The sequence below is a fragment of the Homo sapiens genome, chromosome 1 (assembly GCF_000001405.40).
Source record: "Homo sapiens chromosome 1, GRCh38.p14 Primary Assembly".
NCBI classification, from domain to species: domain Eukaryota; kingdom Metazoa; phylum Chordata; class Mammalia; order Primates; family Hominidae; genus Homo; species Homo sapiens.
Genome location: NC_000001.11, coordinates 31,754,537 through 31,778,602, shown reverse-complemented (window position 1 = coordinate 31,778,602; position 24,066 = coordinate 31,754,537). Strand labels below are relative to the sequence as shown.

General features: G+C 56.9%; 1 protein-coding gene, 1 long non-coding RNA gene and 1 other non-coding gene across 34 annotated transcripts in view, besides 8 other annotated features; all 3 read left to right on the top strand.

Annotated features, from left to right (window-relative positions):
- The first annotated feature begins 9,069 nt into the window (after nt 1-9,069).
- Nucleotides 9,070-9,900, top strand: LOC124903930 (uncharacterized). Its single transcript, XR_007065631.1, has 2 exons — nt 9,070-9,250; nt 9,513-9,900. It is a non-coding gene; the product is annotated as an uncharacterized LOC124903930 (long non-coding RNA).
- Nucleotides 9,384-9,463: a silencer, noted in NCBI's record as "silent region_576". NCBI's record gives its function as "represses an Ori minimal core promoter by ATAC-STARR-seq in GM12878 lymphoblastoid cells {active_cell/tissue: GM12878}" and the evidence as "EXISTENCE:reporter gene assay evidence [ECO:0000049][PMID:35858748]".
- A 4,362-nt stretch (nt 9,901-14,262) lies between the features above and the next one.
- ADGRB2 (adhesion G protein-coupled receptor B2) overlaps nt 14,263-24,066 on the top strand; it is a 37,224-nt gene continuing 27,420 nt past the window's right edge. For 7 of the 32 annotated variants that reach the window (XM_017001909.2, XM_047426190.1, XM_047426189.1 and 4 more), the window contains exons 1-2: nt 20,956-21,402; nt 21,788-22,604. In XM_017001909.2, coding sequence (XP_016857398.1) covers nt 21,382-21,402; nt 21,788-22,604 — 838 coding nt within the window. In that variant the 5' untranslated portion in view covers nt 20,956-21,381. Of the gene's footprint in view, nt 14,720-17,621; nt 17,921-18,023; nt 22,605-24,066 lie in introns of those variants that run through there. The other 25 variants (XM_047426186.1, XM_047426180.1, NM_001294336.2 and 22 more) reach the window with 11 other exon arrangements.
- Nucleotides 15,581-15,850: a silencer, noted in NCBI's record as "silent region_575". NCBI's record gives its function as "represses an Ori minimal core promoter by ATAC-STARR-seq in GM12878 lymphoblastoid cells {active_cell/tissue: GM12878}" and the evidence as "EXISTENCE:reporter gene assay evidence [ECO:0000049][PMID:35858748]".
- Nucleotides 15,581-16,645: a biological region, named in NCBI's record as "H3K4me1 hESC enhancer GRCh37_chr1:32227559-32228412".
- Nucleotides 15,792-16,645: an enhancer, noted in NCBI's record as "H3K4me1 hESC enhancer chr1:32227559-32228412 (GRCh37/hg19 assembly coordinates)". NCBI's record gives its function as "activates a minimal SCP1, AML or CMV promoter by ChIP-STARR-seq in naive H9 embryonic stem cells {active_cell/tissue: H9 hESC(naive)}" and the evidence as "EXISTENCE:reporter gene assay evidence [ECO:0000049][PMID:30033119]".
- Nucleotides 17,447-17,626: a silencer, noted in NCBI's record as "silent region_574". NCBI's record gives its function as "represses an Ori minimal core promoter by ATAC-STARR-seq in GM12878 lymphoblastoid cells {active_cell/tissue: GM12878}" and the evidence as "EXISTENCE:reporter gene assay evidence [ECO:0000049][PMID:35858748]".
- MIR4254 (microRNA 4254) lies at nt 19,868-19,943 on the top strand. The gene has a single exon (NR_036216.1). It is a non-coding gene; the product is annotated as a microRNA 4254 (primary transcript).
- Nucleotides 21,408-22,012: an enhancer, noted in NCBI's record as "H3K27ac-H3K4me1 hESC enhancer chr1:32222192-32222796 (GRCh37/hg19 assembly coordinates)". NCBI's record gives its function as "activates a minimal SCP1, AML or CMV promoter by ChIP-STARR-seq in primed H9 embryonic stem cells {active_cell/tissue: H9 hESC(primed)}" and the evidence as "EXISTENCE:reporter gene assay evidence [ECO:0000049][PMID:30033119]".
- Nucleotides 22,013-22,618: an enhancer, noted in NCBI's record as "H3K27ac-H3K4me1 hESC enhancer chr1:32221586-32222191 (GRCh37/hg19 assembly coordinates)". NCBI's record gives its function as "activates a minimal SCP1, AML or CMV promoter by ChIP-STARR-seq in primed H9 embryonic stem cells {active_cell/tissue: H9 hESC(primed)}" and the evidence as "EXISTENCE:reporter gene assay evidence [ECO:0000049][PMID:30033119]".
- Nucleotides 23,224-23,830: an enhancer, noted in NCBI's record as "H3K4me1 hESC enhancer chr1:32220374-32220980 (GRCh37/hg19 assembly coordinates)". NCBI's record gives its function as "activates a minimal SCP1, AML or CMV promoter by ChIP-STARR-seq in naive H9 embryonic stem cells {active_cell/tissue: H9 hESC(naive)}" and the evidence as "EXISTENCE:reporter gene assay evidence [ECO:0000049][PMID:30033119]".

The following is a 24,066-nucleotide window of genomic DNA, read 5'->3' as shown; positions in this document are numbered from 1 at the left end:
AGCCCCCTCCTCTTCCCCATAGGGATCACTTTAGGGATCACCTGAGCTCTGATGGTCAGGAGGTTCTTCCTTGAGCCTGCCCACAGTCCTTCATGCTGCAGTTCAGTCTGCTTTGCCACTGCCCCCATGAGAGCTGCCTTTGCTTTTTGGGAATTCTTGGCTGTAGGGACTTTCTTTATCTCACTTACTGAAAGCAGAGGGGAAAACACCAGGGTGGGGGCTGGTGGAGGTGGGGTGCTTCAGGAGAAAACCTTAAAGGGGATGGGGTCAGGGCTTGGCTCCAATGGGCAGAGGCTGGAAGTTGACCCAGCTTTCCTTTCTGAGAGAAGCATTCACCAGGTTCATAAATATTTTTCTGGGCCTCTGCCTCAGTTTCCCCACTGTGCTCAGGAGAAAGTGTTTCTATGCTGTCCCTTTGTCTTCTCTCTCCATTCACTTTTGGTGCTGGGTGAAGGAGACATCAAGTAAATCAGTGCCAGGCTCTTCTTCTTTTTCTTCTTCTTCTTCTTCTTTCTTCTTTCTTCTTTTTTTTTTTGAGATGGAGTTTCGCTCTTGTTGCCCAGGCTGGAGTGCAATGGCGTCATCTCGGCTCACTGCAGCCTCCGCCTCCCAGGTTCAAGCAGTTCTCCTGCCTCAGCCTCCCGAGTAGCTGGGAGTAAGGCATGCACAACCATGCCCATCTAATTTTTGTATTTTTAGTAGAGACAGGGTTTCGCCATGTTGGCCAGGCTGGTCTCAAACTCCTGACCTCAGGTGATCTGCCCGCCTCAGCCTCCCAAAGTGCTGGGATTACAGGCATGAGCCACTGTGTTGGGCCCAGGCCCTGCTTCTAATCAGCTCCAAGTCGGGTGGAACAGGCAGACCCTGGTACAAAGAGCTCTGATACGGAGTGACCTGTGCCACAGAAGAAGGAGTTTACAAACAGAGCCCAGGGGAGAGAAGAATTGATACTTCCTGGGGAAATCTGGGAGGCAGAAGAGGGGGCCCGGGAGGATGCATTTGGTAACAAAAAAGGGGTGCTGGGAAAGCAATCTGGGCAGAGGGAACAGCACGGCCAAAGGCTTGGAGGTGTGAAAGAGCCTGGCACGATCTGTAAACGGTGTCTAGCTCCCAGGGAACAGGGTGGATGCAGAGGTAAGAAGGGAGGGAAAGCTGGGCAGTCTACGGCGGGTTGGAACTTTATTCTGAGGGCACTGGGGAGACATTGAGAGTTTAAGCAGGGGAGGAATAGGAGGCAGGTTTGTGCCATAGAGTAGTCACGTGGAGAAAACACGGACAGGAATGGTGGGGGGACAGGACTGGCAGCTACTGCTATGGTATCTGTGGTCCTGAACAAGGATGGTGGGTTCTAGAGATGTTAAGAGGGCAAACCAAATGGGACCCCATGGCAGGCTGGAGGTGGGATGGATGGCTGCTGGTGATCCAAGATCCTGAGTTTAAGATGAGTCCCAGCACAGTCTACTCCTTCCACCCTGAAGCCTCGGTAGCTCCCAAGGCCTCCAGGAGAATGTTTAAATTTCCTGGAATGACAGTCCCAGTCTGGCCCTATATACCTCTGTGACCTCAGCTCCCCTACCTTCCTGTGCTCTGGCCCACCTGGTTTCTCCATAGGAGCTGTTCATAAGTTCCTATGGCTCATTCTAGCATCCAAGCCGTTGTTCACATTAATTACTGTTCCCCTTCCCCATGCTGTTGTCCCTCTGCCCTGCCTCCCCAGATCTTCCCCATCTTCTCACTGAAGTGAGCCCTGCAGGCCTTAGTGCCCCTCCATCCCCGCTTTCACCTTCCCTCCCTTTCCTCTACCCTCTTCACTTAGCACAGGCCTGGGCTGACCATGTAATCAGCATAAACAGCTGCCTAAAGATCCTACAAGGAGAACTGCAGGCCTTGGCTCAGATTAGAGCCGAAAGCTGGCTCCCATCCTCCAGTGGCCCTGATAGGACCAGGCCAGGGGAGCAGTCTTGTCTGCAGCTATGTTCCTTGGCCAATGGAGCTGTCATTATTGCTCCAAATTAGGCACCAATTTGCCCGTGTAATTGTTTGCTAATTAGCATGAAATCCTAATGTAATTAGTTGGGCCCCTTATCCGGGAGCCTGGGGAGTCAGAGGCAGTGGGGGGCCGCTGGAGAAGGGAGGGTCTAGGAGGCTGGGGAAATGGTTGTTTGAGAGAGAAGGCCCCGAGCTGCCATCAGGGCTGAGACAGGGAGTGATAGAAATTGCAGAATCTCACAGTTGAAAGGGTCTTTGGAGAGGCTAGCACTTGCCAACACCTTACAGATGGGGAAACTGATAACAGATAGGGCGAGGAACCTCCTGGGAGCTGGTGGCAGAGCTGGGCCAAACATCCAGGCCATCTGTTTACACTGACCAGAGCGGTGCTCTGGCTGTGGGTGAAGATGACATGGCCCGTGGCTCTCCGGCATCTGCTTCTAAAGAAGGGAAGCAGGGAGAGTGGGTGGGGGTGTGGTATCAGCCCACATTTTTTTTTTTCTTTGAGACAGGTTCTCACTCTTGTTGCCCAGGCTGGAGTGCAGTGCAGTGCAGTGATCTTGGCTCACTGCAGCTTTGACTTCCCAGGCTCAATGATCCTCCTGCCTTAGCCTCCCAAGTAGGAGGGACTATTGGCGTGCGTCACCATGCCTGGCTAATTTTTGTATTTTTATTACAGACGGGGTCTCGCCATGTTGCCCAAGCTGGTCTCAAACTCCTGGGCTCTAGTGATCCGCCTGCCTCAGCCTCCCAAAGTGCTGGGATTATAGGCATGCACCACCACGCCCAGCCCAGCCCATAGTTTAAGTAGGAAATGCAATGGAAAGAGGGCCTAGGCAGGATGCCAAATTGTTAGTTAGAACTGGAGGAGCAGTGGGAACAAAGAAGAGGTTTCCAGAGCTTCTTTCTGGGGAATGACTTGGGTGTTGAGAGGGAAGATGGGGAGGCCAGAATGCTTTCCTCCAACTGAAAGGCAAATCCCCCCACCGCCACCCTAGGCTTTCTGCCTCTCCCCATCTCTCTGGAAAGGGTCTGGAGAAGGTGCTAGAGCCAGCCCATACCAGCTTGTGAGAGCTGACTGTTAAATTCTTAGGAATTTTGCCAGCCAGTTAACTTCACATTGGTAATGTAAATTGGCCATCATGGGAGGATTTACACCATGGAAATTGGCAAATGCTGCAAATCAGGGCTGCACTTCCCCGCCCCCAAGCCAGTTGTTAAATTGTACCAGCATACCACTGAACCCGTCTGAAATGTGATGAAATAGCCCCAGCTTTATCCCCGGCAGCTGGGTAGGATTGGGAGGGGGAGCAGCTGTTCTCAGGACCATTCTGGGGACACCACATTAGTCACATGGTCTCCACTCCCCACTCCCCATCCCTAGCATCCAGTCTCCCCACAATTGACTCTCACACCTCAGGTTGCTCCCTCTTCCCCTGCCTGCAGTTATCCTCTGCGTCAGTTCCTAGGGTTCAATTCTCTTCACTCCCTATCATTTATATTTTAGAGTTGGGGTCTTGCTCTGCACCATCTTACTCTATCCAGGCAGTGATCATGGCTCACTGTAGCCTTGAACTCCTAGGTTCAAGCAATCCTCTTGCCTCAGCCTCCTGAGTAGTTGGGACTACAAAGGTGCACCACCATACCTGGCTAATCTTATTTTTTTGCAGAGAAGGGGTCTCACTATGTTGCCCAGGCTGGTCTCAAACTCCTGGGCTCAAGTGATCCTCCCCCCTTGGCCTCCCAAAATGCTGGGATTACAGGTATGAGCCACTGCACCCGGCCTCTTTAATCCCTATCTTTACCCAGATCTCTCCTGTTTCCTGGACACTGTCTCTAGATGTCCTGAAGGCACCTCAATGCAGCATGTCTGAAATAGAAATCATCGACTTCCCACAAGTCTTTCCCCATCTGAGTAAATGGCACACTCCCCCTCAGGGCCTTTGCACTTGCAATTTCCCCTATTTGAACAGCTCTTCCTCTAAATATCCCTCACGTACCTCAGGGGTCTGCTCAGATGTCACCTTCTCAGAGACATCTTCCTTGACCTCCTTTCCTAAAACAGCCCCCATTCTCATCCACCACTTCTGCACCCTTGCTGGACACTATTTTCCCTCTTTGCACTTGTCCACACATGCATTCCATATATTTAGGTGTTTGTGTCTGCCTCCCTTTCCCCACTAGAAGGTGAACTCCAGATAAACACAGCAGTTATGTGGTCAGGTTCTAGAAGTTCCTTGGAGTCTTGGAACTGTTCGACTGATTGTGTCTGTTCGATTCACTCAGTGCTGGACACTTTTAGTAAGCTCCCAATAAATATTACTTGAATGAATGAATGAATGAGCCTCCATCCAGTCCCCTTTTTCAATCTTGACTCCTCAAATCCACCTTCCATTGCCCCAGTTGTTTCTGAAACAAACTTGGCTATGATTCATTCCCGTCCAAAACCCTTCATAGACCTCTTTTGCTTTCAGAATAAAATCTACCTCTGGTTTTGCTTACGAGGCCCTCAGTGATGTATTTCCAGCCTAACCTTCATTTCGCACATCTTCCCTCAAGCATAAGCACCACACACACACACACGCACACAGCCATGCATACAGCCTGGGTATACTATTTCTGCCTCTTCTGTACAGTGCTCACTCCCTTCTTAAGTGGTCCTGCATTCTCTGACTCATTGACTTCTTTCCTTCATTCCGTCAATAAGTGTTTTAAATGGAGCAGACCCTTGGTGCCAGGCCTGTAGCTGAGCATTACTGGGAGGAGTCAGCCCACACCTCTTCTCGAAATGCTCCCAATCTGGCAGGGAAGGAGGCCGCGAAACCATCATTCCATCTGTAGTTCCTCCTTTACTGTCCTTTGGACATCCTGACATCACCTCCCTGTGCCCAGACAGTTTTCTGTGGCGGGGGGTTGGCGGGGGGAGCATCCCCATGAAGAGGCAGCCCCTGACCCTTGCCTGCTTCTGGCTGTGGTGTGGCACCTGATGGAAATGACTGGATTTGGGGTCTGCTTTTTCCTGCTAACCCTTGACTGAGAGCTTCAGGGAGGTAGGATGTAGGGTGAACCACCTCTGGTTCTCCAAAGCCCATCAGAGTAGAGGGGACACTGAGTGACTCAAGGCTGCCCTTATTCTCTGGGACTTCTGAGTCTTGGCCTTCTTCACCCCACAGGGTCCAAGATCCAGGGAGAAATGGGGTTGTTTGAGTGTGGGGTGTGCACAGACTTGCTGAGTCTCTGGGTCAGGGGTGTGTGTGTGTGTGTGTATGTGTGCACTCCTGGGTGTGCACTGGTGGGCTTGTCCCTGAGCCCGATGTTAGGGGCCTGTCCCAGACTTCTGTGCTGGGTCAACTGTGCTGGGGAATGTGGTGTGTCTGAATTATGGCAGCGTGTGCATGCATCTGCTCAGGGATGGCGCTGCCTCGGACGCGGGTGGTCCCTCCTGCACTCTAGCTTGAGTCTCCAGCTCAGCCACAAGACAGCGAAGATCTCACAGCGAGCAGGCCCATTGCGGAAGACTGATGAGCTGCCCCCAAGCCCTCAGCAGAATGAGCGTGAAGCCGGCGCCACTCAGTCCCTCCCGCTAACTGCCCATCCTCTCCGGCCATTGCCTCCCGAGTGCCCATCGAGTGCCCGTGGGTCAGCGAGCGGGGCCGCTGGAGGAAGGGGCGGGTGTGCCCAGGGCTGGCGGCGGGCCCGGGGTCCCTGGGAGGAAAGGGCCGCTCGCTCAGCCCCCTCCCGGAGCCCAGAGACGGCCCCGGCGGCGCGGGCACACAGGGGCACATAGCGCGGGGCGGAGGGAGGGGGTGGCGGCACCGTCCGTGGAGGGCGCGGGCTCGCTTAGCCTTCCGCACCGGCGCTCCCTCGCGCGGTGCCCCTTCCGCACACTCACACGCACTCATTCCCACAGCTACACACTCCAGCACCTGCAGGCACAAACGCTTGCAGGGACACACCACGACACAGACACCCAAGCACACACAGGTATCGGCTCATAGACTCGTCCCTGAGTCACACACAGGTATCGGCTCAAAGGCACAGGCAGGCTCATAGACTGGTCCCTGAGTCACACATAGCCCAGACTCAGATGCACACACACAGATGGGAACGCTCGCCTGCACGTGCACAGACACACGGACACACCCGCACACCACCGCGGGGTTCCGAGCACACACGCGCCCCGGCAGACGCTCACAGACACACGCAGGGCCGGGAGCGCACACACACAGACACAGGCTCATATAGACAGACTCGGTCCTAAAAATACGCACTCGCAGAGGCAAAGGCTAGCGCACAAGCACGCACAGACACACCGACAGGCGGCCCCCGGACACCGCGCTCCCTGCCGCACTCACGGCCCACGCAAGGGCTCACACACGGCCTCACGGAGGACAGTCATAAAACACCCAGACACACGCCACACACGCACGCGCGCATTCGCGGACACACAAAAGCGCCACACACACAATCGGGCAACGCAGAAGCACTTGGGTTCCAGATGCCTTTGAAATTCAAATTCGCGCTCTCTTCCGCCCGCTCCCGGCCGCGCGGCCCCACACCCGCGCCGCCGCCGCCGCCACGGGCTCAGGACTCACGACGCCGCCTGCCCTCAGCGGAAATTAAAATTCATTTCAGGGGAGACCTGCACAAGGTGTGGGAGCGCGGGCGGCTTCCGGCGGTGGGGCCCTTTGTGAGGGTAAGGGGTAAGGGCACCATAGGAGTGGGAGCCTCTGTCCCCCCATATGTGACCTTGATCCGGTGGCTGTGCAGCCTCAGGGTTCCCTCAGGAGCGGGACCTCCAGTGGAAAGTCAGGCTCCAAGCTGGCCAATCTTGTTGTAAGGGAGGGCCCGATGGAGGATTCGGCCTGGGAATAGGAGGGGGTGGGGGGCTTCCAGGGAAGGATTAGTTCCCAAAGTCTCCAAAGACAAGAATCCCAAGGCCACAGGTACAGATCTGCAGACATGCACCACAGTGGATCCAAACCCCTCATCCAGACACAGATATAGGACACCCAGAGACACATACCCAACAGTATCACACACAGACCTCACTGGAAGTCGAGGGCCTGCCAGCATTGCCAGGCACACACAGAGACACGCACCACAGGCTGGCACAGACACATACCACTGACATGCAGACGCAGTCACACTTGGGCCTGCAAATGCCAGGCACCCTGACTAACCAAAGGCACAGACACACACAGGCCTGCAAACACTTTCCACACACACACACACACACACACACACACACACACGGGTTCAGGCACACACTGAACCCCAGGAAACATCACACTCTGGCTGCACACAAACTCCAATGACACGCAAACACTGCCCTGTCAATACACCTCACATTCGCCCAGACACTGAGTGGATGCCAAACCCCAGCATCGTAGGTGTGTATGCATTCTACACCACACACACGCACAGACACAGAAAGAAATGCATGAATACACCACATACCCTGCAAACAAAGGCACACACACGCACACGCAGCAGAGATCCCAGAGCCAGGTCCAGGCTTCTGACGTACAAAGCCTAGGCAGACACACACGAAACCTGCACACAGGCACACCATATACACACACAGACTCTCCCCCTACACATTGACGCACACAACCACCCACACGTGTACCGGAGCTCAGCCCCACTCACTCCCACTCTGACACACAGAACACTCACTTGGCGAGGTGCTCCAGGGCCCTTCCCTCTAACCACAAGGCTCGGGAATCTTACACCCCTACCCCCACCCCATCCACAGGCTTCACCCCCAAGCCTGGGACCCTCTGAGGTCAGAGTTGTGCCAGGGTTGGTGGTAAGCCAGAAGCAACCCCCACAACCCTGCAGTGATTGCTTTATTGCCAGCATGAGTTAGTGTACGTTTCTCTCCAGCAAGAGGGACAGATGTCCTCCTGGGGTGTGTCATCGTGTGGTCCTGTAAGAAGTGTGGTTGTGCCAACCAAGGAGGCATGTAGGTGTCACTGGTCCTGCATTTTGTCCTTCTCAGCACCCTCAGCAACTCTGGTTGCCTCCCCCAAAACCTAGGTGTCCAGCCTCAGCCTCTTCTAGCAGGTGTCGAGCCCTGGGAGTCAGACCCCCACCGACCAAATCTCTCACCCCGAGGGAGCTGGTCTTCTTTGGAAGATCAACTCTAATCCCGAAATAAATTGTTTCAAAAGTTGGTGCTTGGTCTGTCCTCTGGGAGGTGGCAAGGAGGACCAGGCCGAGGCAGGATGAGGCAGAACTGAAGCAGGGCCTCTAGCAAACCCTGAATGGGGCAGAGGCCTGGCTCTTGTCTCAGTCTCTCTGTAAAGCAGCTTCCTTATCTGTGACATGCGGGTGACCAGACCGATTGCAAGGGTTGTTCTGAGGGATCATTTGAACAATAGGTGCAGAGCAGCTGGAAGAGTGTCAGGCCCACAGAGGGGCTTGGCTGGATAAGCCAGTGCCTCCAAACCTCTAGGTCCCTGCACCCCTGCCTGCTAAGCCCATGTGTCCTGCTTGGCACAAGCCCAGTTCAGCAGGATCCAGGTGGCACAGAGCCCAGGAGAGAGGACCTGGGGCATCCCAGGCGGTGGAACACACGGGCCCTCCCCCACTGCCAGCGTGCCCCATGCCTGCTGAGAGCGTCCCAGCCCCTCCCTGAGGGATGCTCCTCACCCCCGCCCATGGCAGGAAGCTGGGAGCAGCTCTTCTCAGGCGCCTCCGCCCCCCTGAATATCCACCAGCCTCGGGTGTGGGTACAGGGTATGGTGCTGTCATCCCCGGCCGTCTGGAATGGCTGCCAGGGCTCACTGACCTTAAGACCTATAGCAGGGGAGTGTGGGATTAGACCTCAGGAAGAATTTACCAAGGGGGAGTGCCTGGGCTCCCTCCTGTGAGGGACTGTGTCTGACCTCAGTCTAGAGCCAGAGGTGATGGGACTAATAAATAAGCCAGAGAGATACCCATCGGACCAGAAAAATGGAGGGGACTTATGTCCTGGGGTTGTGTCAAGTGTATACGTCTATGGGCCAGCAACTGTGTCAGTGTGTAGATATGGCTTTATCTGTACATGAATGGTGTGTGTGTGTGTTTACACAGACATGGAAGGCTGAAAAGGAAGAGGAACTTCCAAATAAGGAGAAGAGGTGCTGCAGAGAAGTGGATCCAGATTCAGTTTCTCTGCAGGGATCCCCCCCACACACTGTCCCCATCACACTGGCAAAACCTTGGCTCCTGCCTCCTTATCTGCAATGATCTCAGCAGAAAAGAGCTCCCACTGGTACACCTCTCTCCCTTTTGGGGATATGGGGGTTGCTGGGAAGGTGTTAAGGTCAGGGCCCCAATTCTGAGTTATCTCTGTGTCCCCAGAACCTGGAACAGCTCATAGTCCTAGTAAGTCTGAAACGGGCCCACATTCATGCAGATGACATCTACATGCAGATGACATCTGGGCATAGCACTGTGTGAGACACTTCCTCTTTTTCATCTGATATGACCCACATCAGCTCTGCTAAGTTGGAATCATTGTTTCCATTTTACAGAAGAGAAAACTGAGGCTTGGATATCATAAGTGATCTGCCCAAGGTCACACAACCGGTGAGGGGACAGAGGCAGGAATCCAGATCTGTGTGGCTTCGGAGCCTGAAGTCTTCTGGTTCATCACATGGGAAACTGTGAACCAGTGTTTTACTGCACAAACATCAGTCAAGAGTCACAGATCAAAAGCTCTGTGAGGGCAAGGTGTCTGCTTGCCATTTCACCATTCATTCACTCAGTGAATATTTGCTGACTACTTACCTTGTACCTGGTGGTGGGTGCCACGGGCCCCAGCTGTGAATGGATGGACAAGGTCCCTGACTTCACAGAACTCACAGTCCAGGGGGGCAACAAGTTACATGTGTGTAAATAAACAACATATTTTCAGAGCAATGAGTATTGCCAAGGAAATATAACAGGGGTATGGGATGAAGCAACTGGGGGTGGGGTAGGGCTATTTTAGAGGTGTGGTCAGGGGAGGCTCCCTGGAGGAAGTGACCTTGGAGCTGAGACCTTCTTGATAAGGAGTCAGCCATGGGAATTGCCGGGGGAAGGGTTTGGAGTTTTCTAAGAGCAGCAAGGAGAACTCTGTGGCTGCAGCATGGTGTGGGGTGGGGGTAGGGGACTGGAGATGGGTCTGAAAGGCTGCTAAGGGCCAGGCTATGCAGGGTCTGGAAGGCCACATTGTCAAGTGCAGTGGGAAGCCACTAGCAGGCTTAAGAGGTGCCCTGATTTACACTTTTAAAGAGATGGCTCAGTTCAGTGGGCTCCAGGAGAATGGACTGAGGTGGGGGAGGTAGGAGTGGAAGCCCAGAAATTAAGTAAGGGAGAATCTGGGCACTGGATGATGGTGGCGTGGACTCCCCTGTTGGCAGTGGGGATGTAACGAGTGGATAGATGTGGGATATTTTGGGAGGTAGAAGCAACAAGACTTGCTGATGGCCGGGATCCCAGTGCCTAGAACATAGTAGACTCAATAAATATTTGTTGAATAAATGAATAAAGGCGCCAGGCTCTATATACACTTGTGTGCATCCTCTGGTATAAGGCATGTATGTAAAGATCACCCAAGACCCTAAAGGGCTGCTCTATCCTCTGCCCTAGGGGCCAGGGGCCAGAGAATGCAGGTGCTGCTCAAGGAGTTGCACACAAACCAGGCATTTCTGGGAAGATTTGGCTAGTGAGCAACGCATCCTCTCTTCTTTCCCCAATCTGCAGCAGCAAGAAAATGACAAACACCCTACCTGGGTTGCCCCAGGCTCCTAACCCCTTTGGCATCTGCAGCAGGAAGGATGGAAGCTAGACATGAAGGATTTCCCACAGGCAGAGAAGGCCAGTCTACCTTTTCCAGGATGGCCTCCAGGATGCATGCCATTCAGAGCTCTCAGGTGTTGGTCATAGGAACTCTGGGGCAGAAGATTGTCACATGGATTTGGGTGTCTTTAGGGACAGGTTATGAGCGCCTGATAGGTGTATGGGGTAGGAGCGGGACTGGAAGGAGACCTTGGCACCCACAGCTTTGGGTGGCCCTGGATGGTGCCTAGTTGAACGGCAGTGGTGAACAGGGCTGAGTGAGGGGTGCTCCTAGGTCCCACTGGCTGGAAGGAAACCTGCCTAGGCTCTGGGCCAAATAAATCATTGGGAAGGGAAGAAGAACATTTTCTCATCTGTTTAAAGGGCAACGAAGCATAGCAGCGGCCAGCCCAGCAGGAGGCAAGGCTGAGGCCAAGCGGGTGAGGCCAGGGCAGCTCCCTTCCTCGACACACCATCCTCTCCTGAGCAGCCCCACCGGCTTAGGCCTTGAGGGCTGTCTGCCTTCCAACTGGGCCATTGATGGTTGTTATTGTTGACAAAAATATTAATTAATTGGTAATAAAATAATTACTTACAAAGGCCCCTTCAGGGACGTAACCCTTGCTAATCCATCTTTTATCTCACTGGATCACAGACTGAGATCATTTATACCATTTCCCAGATAAGGAAACAGAGGCCCAGAAAGCTGAAGGGACTTTCTCAAGGTCATCTAGCATGGCAGGGTGACAGCAAGGCAGTTGCCCTTGTGGAGTGGATCCCCATAATCCCATCAGAGGTTCCAGAGGGGGCCCCAATGGGGCTAAAGGGCTGAAGTGATTGTCCTTGGTCCAGCTTAGGGGGTTCAGAGGGATGTCCCTTTATTCTGCTCAAGCCCTCTGTGCTCAAGCTCTGGCCGGTGCCCCTTCCCATGCCCAGTCTCTGCCCCAGGCTCCCTGGAGGCCCCTCCTGGGGCTAAGGCTTGCTCTTTTCACCCCCGCCTGAGCATCAGAGAAGTAATTTATCTTCAACCAGCTGGATTTGAATATGGAAACGATTTGTAATTACTCCAAGTCCTCCTGGGCGGCATTATTACCAGAGTGAGTCTGGAAGGGCAGGGGCTCCTGGGAAAGGAGGTGGGGAAACCCTGATGCAGAGAGGTGCCTCCAGGGAGAGCCTTCCAGAGGTCAGCCCTAGTCTCGCCTGCTCACTCCTGTACAACCCTGGGGAGGTCCTGCTCTCCCCACACAGCTCCCACAACCCCCTTTGCCTTGCTGACCTCCCCACCTTGCCCCTACTGAGCCCCCGGCTAAGGGACACCATCTCTGTCAGTCCCTCACTCTGTCTACCTATGCTTCCTTGGGCGTACATTTTTGTGGCTGATAGAAGGGATCAAGAAGTCAGAGGGCTAGCGAGGAACAGAGAGACAGACAAAAACGCTGCTGTCGATCTGGGGCCAGTCCCTCCCATCACCTCTCACCCAGCTGCCTCCTGGGGAAGGAGGAGGGGGGGCCTCAGGCATCCAGCTGCATCACATCTGCAAGAGACCTGCCTAGGTTTCTCTGATCTAATATGCTAATGATCATGAATATTCAAAAAGAGGGAAGCAAGCTCCCTGTAGGAGAGGAGGGGGCTGGAGCTTTGGACAGGGTCCTGGAGATTTCTAAGGGGCTTGCATCCTTGTGGGCAACCCATGTCTCCACCATTTTCCCCACTTTTGCCTACCTCCTTGAAGCCCCAGTCTAGCAACCCCATTCCCCCTCCCAGTGCCCATGTAAGGAGGGGGCCCGGATTTCCCACTGCCCTGGGGTGGCTTTCAACATACTTTGCAGCTGGCAAGGCCTGCCTGGCCTGGCTTTCACATAGTAGCTGAGCCTTGAAATCCAGAGATGTCTGACTGTGTTTGAGGGTGCCTAGCAAACCCTAGGAGCCTTGCTTGCCAGTGCTAGGCCCAAGGCACAGGCCTCCTTGGGCATCCGCAGCGAAAGGGAAGGTGCCGGCCCAGCCCTCCTCCCTGCCTCATAAGGCCTCATAAATTCTCTTAAGGTGACAGGTGAGATTCCTTCATCGTCCCTTATTACCTCCTTCCATTAAAGTTGATAATCTCTCACAATCACTCACAACAAATGTCACCGAGGCTGCTGGAGGTGGGAGGGACAGAAGGAGGGAAAAGAGGGCGGTTCTATGCCTCTTCCTGGTACTGCCCCTGGGAAGAGGTAGGCTTTTCTCTTCTTGCCCCATCTTGAGGGTGCCACAACTTAAGGGGCATCAGTGGAGAGGTGGGGTTGGTATTTGCTGAAATGAGGACTTCTTTGCACTGAAAATTTGGCCCTTCCTGGCTAGTGAACCTTCAAAAAGTATGGTCCTGAAACCATCCCACCCTCATCGCAAAGCTGAAACCATCCCACCCTTATTGCAAAGCTGCCCCCTGCTGGTTTCTCCTCTGACCAAAGCCATGGGATTAACCTACTTGTGTTGGCTGCAATGGTGCGTCCCTGGTCGGCCTACCTTACTGATGGCAACATGCCCAGGCCACAAACTGCCTGACCAGAGCCCTGAACCATGGGCATCTCCCTGTGTACCGCCTGAACCATGAGGGCTCAGGCCCCACCCAACTGTTTCTGGGCTTAGTGCCAAGATGGGGAAGGGGTGGGTCTGTACATCTCTGCTGCTTCTACACAAACAGATGCAACATGGGGGCGCCCCTGGCACAGGGAAAGGCACTTGTGGGAATAGACAGGGACTCAGGAAAACATGTAACACACTGCACACGTGTAGCATCCCCGTGCCTAAGGACGTGCAACATTGCAGTTTACAGTATGCATCAAACATGTCACATTGCAGTATACATATGTGGCTGCTACATGAGTTACCCACAGTCCTCAGCACACATGTGGCACCTGTAAGCTTGCATACATATAACATCCCTGCGCACAGGAACAAGCAACATGCATTCAGGACTTGGGCACATGTTAATACACCGTGCATGTGTGTGGCACTTGCATGCACCTACCCAGGCAACATGGCAGTGCACACTTAGGGCACCTGTATGCATATGCAAAGTTCAGCGCACATGACTGGCACCTGCATGCACAGGGACATGCAATATGCAATGCACATGGGAAGGTGAGCAAATGCTTCAGCCTGCAGGGCCCGGGACACCCTGGCGGCGCGACAAGCCTCCGGCATGGGTATAGCTGGAGGGGCGTCGCGGATCGCCTCATTCTGCGGTCCAAGAAGCAGCGGGCTGGGCGGGGGCTTACCCAGGGCTTCTCCCGCGCCGGCGCCTGGGGCCCAAGGCGGGGAGGTGGGGGGCACGATCGGCTCGGCTGGCGCTGTTCCCCCTTTAACAGGAGGCGGCGCGCGTCGCCCCCGCCCCTTCTCCCGCGGCTCCTCGCGCCCGGCCCGGCGCGCGCCCCCTCCCGGGCCCGGCCCGCGCAGGCGCCGCGTCCCGCCTCGGCCGTCACTCGGCCCGGCGCGCGCTGCGGGCAGCGGCCGGAGCGGCCGGAGGAACCGGGTTCGGCGGCAGCGGCGGCGGCGCTCAGAGACCGAAGAGGATGCGGCACCGGCTCTCAGAGCCCGGGGCTGCGGCCGCCGCCCGCAAATAGGAGGCGGCGCGCGGCGCGGGCGGTGCTCGGGGCGGGGGAGCGGGGGAGCGGGGGGCGGCGCGGCAAGGAGGCGGCGGCGGCGGCGGCGGCAGGAGCCCGCGCCCGGCCCGGCGCCGCCCGCCCGCCCGCCCCGCGCTGCTCCGCGGCGCCTTTTCTGCACCCGCCGCCCGGGAGAGCGGGAGCCTCGGCCCTCCGCGCGGCTGCAGCTACCTACCCTGCGCCCGGCCCGGTCCCCGACTTAGGGATGGCAAACTTGCGCCCCGTGGCCGCCCCCGCCAGCGCCGGCCCCCGCTCCTGCTGCTGACGGCGCCCAGGTGAGTGCTCGGCCCCAGACCCCGACCTGGCCTCGCACCGAGCCCTGCCGGCGCGGTCCCGAGTTTCCGCACCGGCCCGGACTCGGGGCGCTCTCCTAACCCGTCTCTGCTGAATTCTCCCCCAGCCCGAACTGAGTTCGTTCAGCGTTCGCCCACCCCCATCTTCTGGGGAACTCCCAAACCTAGGGCCGAGGCCCCCTTAATCGCTGGTGAATCTCTAATCTCGGCCCCCCCCCTCCCCCAGCCTGGACCGACCCTCTTACCCATCTATGCTAAAGTCTCCCCCTCCAGAATTCTGACACAGACCGTGCTTGCTGTCTCGAGTCTTTCCCTATCTCGGCCTGGATCCGGGCAGTGTGCCCCCCACCTTTATTAGAGCCCCCCCATTAACCTGCAGCTCAACTGTGTCTCCCCCTCTATTTCCCGTCACGGTCTGAATGCCGGACCCTGCTCCTCTCCTCCACTTCATCACTGCCCGGAGTCTTTCCTGTCCCCATCCATGTCTGCCCATAGTTTCTACCCTCCCCCGCGCCTGTACCCCGACCATGCTTCTTCTCTATTTCTGCCCCTAGCGCCCCCTCCCCCATATCTATCTGACCGGAGTCCCGCCTTCCCTCGCCAATCTTGCTGCAAGTCCCCTCCCCTCAGCTTGGAATTGGGGCCGTGTCCCCCGTGTCTGCTCCGCGCCCCCTCCCCTCCAGCTGAGATCCCGACTGGACCCGCATCCCTGACTCCCGTGTCCATCTTTGGCCGGAGTCTATCTGTCCATCCCCCATCCCTATCCTCCCACCCCTGGTCATAGAGCTGGGCACCAGACGCACCCTCCCGCAGCCCCAGGGCCGGCATGATCCGGAGGGGGTTGTAGGCTGTGAAGTTGGCGGCCACTCCCGCAGTCAGCTTGGTCCGAGGGCACAGCCGGGGGAAGTCCTCCGCGCCGCGGCCCGTGCAGAGCAGGCGACGGGTCTGTTGCCCGCCGGGGGGAGGGGCGCCCGGGCCGAGAGATGCCGCCTGCCTGCCCGCCTCGCCAGCTGCCGGCCGGGCTCCTGGGCGTCCTCTGGCGCCCCCTGCCCGAAGCCTGGGACCCGCCACCCCTTCTCCCGCGGGCAACCCCGGGTTTCCGCAGCCAGAGCATCAGCGGTGGCTGCAGGACTGACGCTGGGAAATCCCTGGGGAGAGGAGATTGGTGGGCCAGGCCAGGTGCCTCCTCGTGCTAGCCATGCCCAAACACTCCTGGTTGTCAGGCCATATGTTCTGGGGGTGGGATGGGTTGGGGTGGGGTGGAGGGCTCACCCCAGCAGCAAGTCAAGAGTCCTTTGAGCCTTCACGTACAGACCAGCAGGATTGGCCGCGGGCTCCAGGACGCCTGGTTGGGCTTGTTTGTGCTTGGTCAGGTGTTGCCAGAGAGCCTCTACCCCATGGCATTTCCCATGAGGTGAGGGCTGGGGGCAAAGGTGGGCTCTGCCTGGCTTGCGCATGGAGTCGGTTGTGGGGGAATCCACCTGACCCTGGGACAGAGCAAGCACCTGGGGAGTATCCTCTGCACTGCTACTGGGGTGAGGGGCAGTGTGGACTCTGCGCAGGATATGTCCTGGTGATGGTAGTGGGGAGGTTAGGGAGGGTCTTCTCTGGACCAAGATTGAGAGAAGAGATCTTCCCCTCTTCTTCCCTCTCTCCTCCTTCCGCTCTCTCTTCTGCCCCCTTTCTGTATCACTCTTCAAAAGGACATGTCTAGTCTGGGGTGTGCGTGCGTGGTCTGCATTTCTGTAACACAAAGTGAGGTTCCATCTGGTATCTGCCCCCATCCCTCCCTCCCTTCCCACCCCCAAGTAATGAAGCTGAGTAAGTAGTTAGGAATTCAGCTTTCGGTCAGACGACCTACGTTCAAAAGCTGTGTGACATGGGCAAGCTACTTAATCTTTCTGAGCCTCAGTTGACCCTCTATAAAATGGGTCAGTGATCACTGCCTCATATAGCTGTTGGGAGAATGAAGTTAGGTTGTTTGTATAGAGTGTCTGGCACCTAGCAATGCTCAATATTGATAGGGGTGTGGGGCTGTTTCTGTTCAAGGCCAAGGTCAGGCCCCTCTCCACTCCACTCCTAATCCCAAAGGAGAAAAATGAAAAACAGGTTCCAGTGCCTTCACTCCAACCCCCAGTATAATAAAGACAGAAACACCTTTAGCCCCCAGTCTCCACTTTTCCCCCAAAGTATGGGTGCAGGGGGAGCCAGTGACTGTCAGTTTCCCTCATCTCCTCCTTGGTCCTGCAACTTCCCACTATATTTCTCTGGGATCAGCTCTGGCCAGAGGGATGTTAGTGAAAGCCAGGCCATGGTCTCTGGGGTCTTGGTTCAAGTGTAGAGGCTGCAGAGGTGGGAGAAGTACAGAGAAGAAACCCCAGTCAGAGTCCCCGAAGGCAGGCAGCCTGTTAGGGGGAGCCCAGGTGGGAAATCACTCAGCCACAGAAGAGCCTCTACTGACCCCAGGAGGTCAGACACCATCAGGAATTTCCCAGGGCCCTTTGCCTTGGGTCAGAGTTAGCAGGGCCACCGGGCCTGAGGGCCTGAGGAGTTTGAAGAAACCTGGCTTTGGCCTGAGTAGCTTGGGGGCAGGGAAGGTGGCACGGAGGAAGGGGACTCGAACCTGTGATGGCTGGAAGTCCTCTGGGTAGTGTGGCCGGACCTGGGTCCCACCGGGGAGTGGCAGCCTCCTCATCACCCGCCTGCCCCGGCAGCCCTGACATTGGGGAACAAAAGCATTCGGTTCCTGTAGCAACGGCGGCTCCAGCTGCTGCAAAGTTCCGGGGAGGCGGGCGGAGGGCGGCTGAGTCACCGCCCCCTCCCCCGCCGCCCGCGCGGCACCGCCCCCAGGGGCCGAGGGCTGCCCCTTGTCCCCCTTCCAGTTCTGCCCGCGTTTTCCTCCTTAAGGAGGAACCCCCTCCCCTAAGAGAGCGACCCTCTCTGGCAGTCGGAGCGGGAGGACTGCACAGAGGGGGTCGCTCCCTCCCCTCGGCCCAGTCCCCAGCTCCGGAGGCAGGATGGAGGGTGTGCGTCCCCCAGGGCGACAGAGCTCTAGGAGAGCGGCTCCTGAGGACCCTGTCCTTGGGTCCGAGCGCTGGCAGAGGACCCAAAGCCACCGAGTGGGGGTCACCGCCTGCGTGGCGGCCTGGGCAGGTCGGGCGGCGAGCGCCGGGGAGGCGGAGGGTGAGTGACGGGCGGGCGAATTGGAGCTGCCAGGTGGATAAACGCGACGGATGTGCGCGTCGCCGCGCCCCTTCCCCCGGCCCGCCCCTCCCCCGCCACCCAGCGTGAATGGGAGTCATCCTGGGAATCCCGGACCGGCCCTGGGCCTGAGACACCCCTCTCCCGCTGCTCTGCCCCTTACCCCACAGTCTTGCCTTGGCCCTTTCAGCTGCTGAAAGCTTTGAATTCCTTTATTGGTGCAGAAGGGAAGCTGGGGAGCCCTGAGGGGTGGAAAGAAAGGGGACTTGAGTGTGTTTGGGCAGAGTGAGATTCTTGGGTTTGCTGGGGTCAGGGGCATGTGGTGAAGGCAGCCCCCAGCCCCCTAGAGGAGGGGCCTTGGTAGGGTTAAAAGTGAGAGGGAGACTACTTCAGCCAGCTCCGCACCCATCTCTGAGGCAGGAGGCCTTTTGATCCTCCTCTCTATCAGCCACCTCTGGCCCAGGAAGTTCTTCCTCAGAGCTGACTTTAGTACCTCTCCTATCTAACTCTTGTGCAGGGATGGGTCTGTGGTCTTCCTGGGTTTGGAGGTAGCCAGCCACTTATGGTTCAACCCAAAGAGCCTTCCCAGAGGCAGTGCCCTGTACCTCAGCAGGCAAGAGGGCAGCGTTTATGAGGTCCTGAAAAGACAGAGAGGAGACAGGGCTGTGAGCTAGGCTCTGTGCTGGGAACTTGTTGGGAGGCTGATGAGGTGTCTGCCATCCCCAGGGCAAGGCTCATGGTCTGCATTGCACAGAGAGGGAAACAGGCTCAGGGGGGTTAATCATGACTAAGAGCCACTTGGGCTGCCTGTGAGGCAAGGATCATCCTTCTAGGTCCCCTTCCCGGGTGGCTCAGGGAGAGGCCTCTGGGTCATCAGTGCCCCCAGGAGGACAGGCCTGGCTATACACAGGCAGGAGGGTCTTCAATGAACCAGTGGCTGTCTGTGACCCAGCTTGGAATTGGGTCTTTGCCTTATTTTGAATGGTGGGAAGTAATATAAAAAGGCGCCCCAAAAGGTCTTATGTCATAGCCGGCACAGTGAGGGTTACGCATGTCCAGGACGAAATCCCAGAATGAGCGTGAAGGTGTCTGAAGGAGACTGAGGGGAGGAGGGGGGTTGGATTGGGTTAAAAGTGACTCCATTCTGGAGAAGCCAGCCTGTGGCTCTGAAGGATGTGGACCTTGTGCTTCTTGATGGGGCGGGGCTGTGGAGTAGGGAGCAGCAGCCTAGGAGCAGGGTAGGGGAGGGAGATCCAGCTTCAGACATGCAAAGGAAGACCCCGCAGAGGATCCTGCCTGACACTTAGCTGTCATATGCTGAGCCTCAGAGGGCCAGATACTCATGTGTGTTCTCAGTCGAGAATGCGTGTGCACCTCTGTGCATGTGTACAAGTGTAAGCCTCTACACCCCTGTGTGTGCGTGTTAACTCCTGAGTGTGTGTGACAGCATGAATCTGTGGGTTTCACCTGTGTGCATGTCCGTGTACATATGTATCCATTCATATGCAGAACTCCTGTGAACATCTGTGCCCTCATGCTTTGGTGTGTGTGTCCTCAGGGCACAAGGGTGTTCAAACCCATGTGTGTTGGTGTGTATGTGAGGGGAGGTTCCCTGAGCTGCTGTAAGTGGGGGAGGGGAGGCCGGTTATAATGAGCCCCTACCTCCCCTCCACTGAGCCGCAGCCATGGCCTGAATTTTGCGGCTTAAAAATAATTGGGGGCAGCAGGGGGATTGGATGTCACTCATCATCAGCCGCTGGCTTGGCTAGTGCCGCAGCAGGTGGGGCGAGCTGAGCAGTGTGGGACAGGCATGATGTAGGGTGGGAAAGACCAGGGGTCTGATCCCTTTTTCAGCTCTGAGGAGGAGGGTGGGTGGTTGGGGGGAGAGGCACAGCCTGTCTGGCTTCCGCCGAATAACTCCATGTGGGTCTTGGGAGGAGGGTGGGGTGGCTCCTCTGCAGTGAGTAGGTCTGCCTGGAGCTACTCCACCATCTCCCCCAGCCCCTGTATGGCTGGGAGGGGAAGATGCTTGCTTGGGCCTGGCTTGGAGGTGCAGCATGAAGGGATGTGGGATCTGGAGCAGTGGGGAGCTCCATGGATGCTGCACAGGGACTGGAAAGTTGGGGTTCTAAATTCTGTCCCCCCTCTGCCTGCTGTTTAGACTCCTGAAGACCCAAGGGGAAGTCTGTTCCCTGGGAGCAACTGTGTCTTGGGAGAATCTAGTCATACCTGTGAATTGTCCTGTGTTTCTGATTCAGTCCCCAGAGCTAATAGCTGGTCCATCTGGCCTGAAGCCTGAGCAGCAAGCCTAGGGAAGGAGCAGAGGCTACTGGTGGAGGGAGACAGGCCTGGGCTGGGCCTCAGATCCTGGGCTTGCGTCCTCTGTGGCCACCTTTGTGTGATCTGGAGCGGGTTGTCTCCCTTTTCCTAGCCCCATCTTTTCTCCTCTGATGAGGACCAGCTGGGCTCTAGGGGGCCCATGCAGTGCTGTGAGCTATCCTGTGGCATGCAGGAGGGAGGCCGCTTGGATTACTTGGGGGGTAGGATTGGAAGTGGGGCTGATTCAGACCACGCGCTAGGTTCCATTTTCTGGGCAGTTGGGTAGAGGTTGCGCAGGCTGTGGGCAGTGACACAGCCCTGGCCTGGTGGGTGGGAGGGCACCTGCAGCTCCCCCCATCCTCAGCCCTTACCCACTCTGGCCTGACTGCTCTGTGTGTCTGTATGGGTCGGGCTTGGGTCCTAGGTGCCCACCCACACCTGGAGTACATTCACACCTGTTGGGAGCTCAGCTTAGGGCAGCACTTTAAGGGAAGGTAGAAAGCAACAAGCTTGGGTCCCCACTCTTAGGAACTGGAAGACCCATAAGCTGAATGAACTAGCCTTGGGGAAACAGTATAGGAGAGAGGTCACGACTGGCTGGTGGCTTCACAGGTGGGTAGTGGGGGGTGGGGTAGCAGGCCCTGAACCAGGCCTTGGAAGATAATCCCATGGAGCTGGAGGGGAAGAGGGAAGTAAGAGGGGGAATTTCTGCACCCATTTTACAGATGAGAAAACTGAGACTCATGAGGGTCACCCACCAGCAGGTGGCTGGCTGGGTTGGGGCTCAAGCCCAATGTCCCCTTACTCGGTGCCTCTCCCCCTTATTCCAACCAGGAAATCCACAGCAGTGATACATGTGACGTCCACACTGACAGTGCCCTCCTGTGGGCATGGCTCAGGTTGTGCGCAGTTCCTGGCACACTGGCTGTAACTCCGCCCCTTTCTCTCCCTCTCAGTAAAGCAAGTGAGTGAGAATGACATTGTTCCAGGAATAACCTCAAATTGCTCTAATTTATAAAAAAGCAAATCATAGTCAAACATCACCACTTTGACAATTACCACAGGATTACGCGGTGACATGCCTCACAGCTGATCACGACACACGGGGATGGAGAGCAAGAGTTATGGAGAATACAGGTTGGATGGTGAGGCTGGGGCTGGATCTGAATGCAAGGCGAATATGCTTGTAGTTGATGGGCTGACTCTGAGGAAACAGAACGATGGCAACAACAACTACTGTTTCTTCAGGGCTCACAAGATTCCAGGCACTCTCGCGAGTCCTTTCCCTTACTTATTTCACCCTTGTAGGAAACTTGTGCGATAGGTCCTATCATTGGTCCATTTTACAGGTAAGGAAACTGAGGCTCAGAGAGGTCAAGTCCCTTGTCTAAGTTCACACAGGTGGACCCAGGTGACACTTCAAAGACCAGGGTCTTAACTTATGAGGCCCACTCCCGCAGCTCACCATAGAAGGTTCAGAGCCCATGCTGGCTGTGCTGGGGGCCCGCTGACCACTGTCTCTCTCCACAGGGCAAGGGACATAGGATGACCCCAGCCTGTCCCCTCTTACTGTCTGTGATTCTGTCCCTGCGCCTGGCCACCGCCTTCGACCCCGCCCCCAGTGCCTGCTCTGCCCTGGCCTCGGGTGTGCTCTACGGGGCCTTCTCGCTGCAGGACCTCTTTCCTACCATCGCCTCGGGCTGCTCCTGGACCCTGGAGAACCCTGACCCCACCAAGTACTCCCTCTACCTGCGCTTCAACCGCCAGGAGCAGGTGTGCGCACACTTTGCCCCCCGCCTGCTGCCCCTGGACCACTACCTGGTCAACTTTACCTGCCTGCGGCCTAGCCCCGAGGAGGCGGTGGCCCAGGCGGAGTCAGAGGTGGGGCGGCCAGAAGAGGAGGAGGCAGAGGCGGCAGCGGGGTTGGAGCTGTGCAGCGGCTCAGGCCCCTTTACCTTCCTGCACTTCGACAAGAACTTCGTGCAGCTGTGCCTGTCGGCTGAGCCCTCCGAGGCCCCGCGCCTGCTGGCGCCCGCTGCCCTAGCCTTCCGCTTTGTCGAGGTCTTGCTCATCAACAACAACAACTCTAGCCAATTCACCTGTGGTGTGCTCTGCCGCTGGAGTGAGGAGTGTGGCCGCGCTGCCGGCAGGGCCTGCGGCTTTGCTCAGCCAGGCTGCAGCTGCCCTGGAGAGGCGGGGGCCGGCTCCACCACCACCACATCTCCAGGCCCTCCTGCTGCCCACACCCTGTCCAATGCCCTGGTGCCCGGGGGCCCAGCCCCACCTGCTGAGGCCGATTTGCACTCGGGGAGCAGCAATGATCTGTTCACAACCGAGATGAGATATGGTGAGTCTCAGCAGGGCCTGGGTGGGGCGGGGTCTGCAGGGGCTGACAGTGTCCCTGGTGTCCATCCTGGCAGATCCTCGGCCATGCATGTAGCTGTTCACTGATGTCACCCCTCTGCTGAGCCTTGTCCAAATGTTGCGGTCACCAAAATGCATGGCAGTGAGACCTCACTCTTGAAGAGTTTGCAGACTGGCTAGATGAATGGGGGCACAGATCAGATAATGCAGGGTGATATATAAACCCAGGGAGGGACCTCCTAACTGGGCAGCCAGGGGAGGCTCCCTGAAGGAAGTAATACAGGAACAGAGACCTGAAGGACAAGCAGAAGTGAGATGAGGGCATTCTAGGCAGAGCAAGAAGGGTGCACAAAGGCCCAAGGCTGGGAATGATCGTGGCAGGCCCTGGCGCTGCAAGTTGACAAGTTTGCCTGGAGGCTGGAGTAGGCAGGGAGCAGGGATGCATTCCTGTCCACACAGGTCAGTGAGTTTTGGCAGTTGCCCCGGGGTCAGGGCAGAGAGAGGCAAGGAAGAGTGTCCCTGGGTGAAGAGGCCTGAGCTTCCAGGCTGCCTTGGAGGGCTGGGCTGGCTCAGCTCCCAGTGTCCCGTCTTCCCCCTCAGGACCCATGTCTTCTGGGACCGAGGCCGCCAGCTGCTAGAGCTTCCTGCTGACTGGGCAAAAGCTCTGCGAGCCCTTGAGTCCTGCCTGCTCCCGCTCCCACCCCAGCTCCCTCAGCCACGGCTGCCTTCTACAGACCCTGCTTCCTGCAGCTTCAAGGCCCTGAGGGCCTCAGCTGGATCCTGTGTGCCCGCTGAACAGTGCTGGGCCGGGGACTGACCAGGAGACCTGGAGGGAACAGGGACTGATGACATGGGGATGGGAAGGAGGCAGGTCTGGGGTCTGGTCTGCAGCTCTGGTACCGACAGGGAGGCCTCTCCTCTCTCTGGGCCTCAGTTTCCCCATTTGGGATACAGGTGCTGGCTTATCCTCATGAGGATCAAGGATGCAGGGATAGAGGATGGAAAGGGCATCTGGATTTCACTGGGAGAGTGTTTACAAGGAGACAGGGTATCATGTGAGGGCTGCTAGGAGTGCTGGAGGAGAGCGGCCTGTCCCCAGCCCTGCTCTGCTGGCTAGAGCCCTGGAGTTGGCCTCTACCTTTGACTGTTACCTTGAGTTGATCCCTTTATTTTTGGTGGGCAGTGGTTTCTTTGTAGAATGGGGAGGTATCCCTGAATTAATTAGAGGGGGTAGTTATCTTGAAAGTAGCCTAACCCAGTACTTTCGATGGGGGCCTTCTTGGCTTCTCCAATGAGACATCTGACATCGTGCCCATCCACGGCAAGTGCCCGGTGGCTTTGCTGTGGCCTCTCTCCCAGGCTAGCTTGGCCTCTAACGGCGGTCAATGAAGCCGTCCGAGTGACAGCCGGGCCGCGGGTAGGTTACAGGCCCTGGAGGCTGGCCT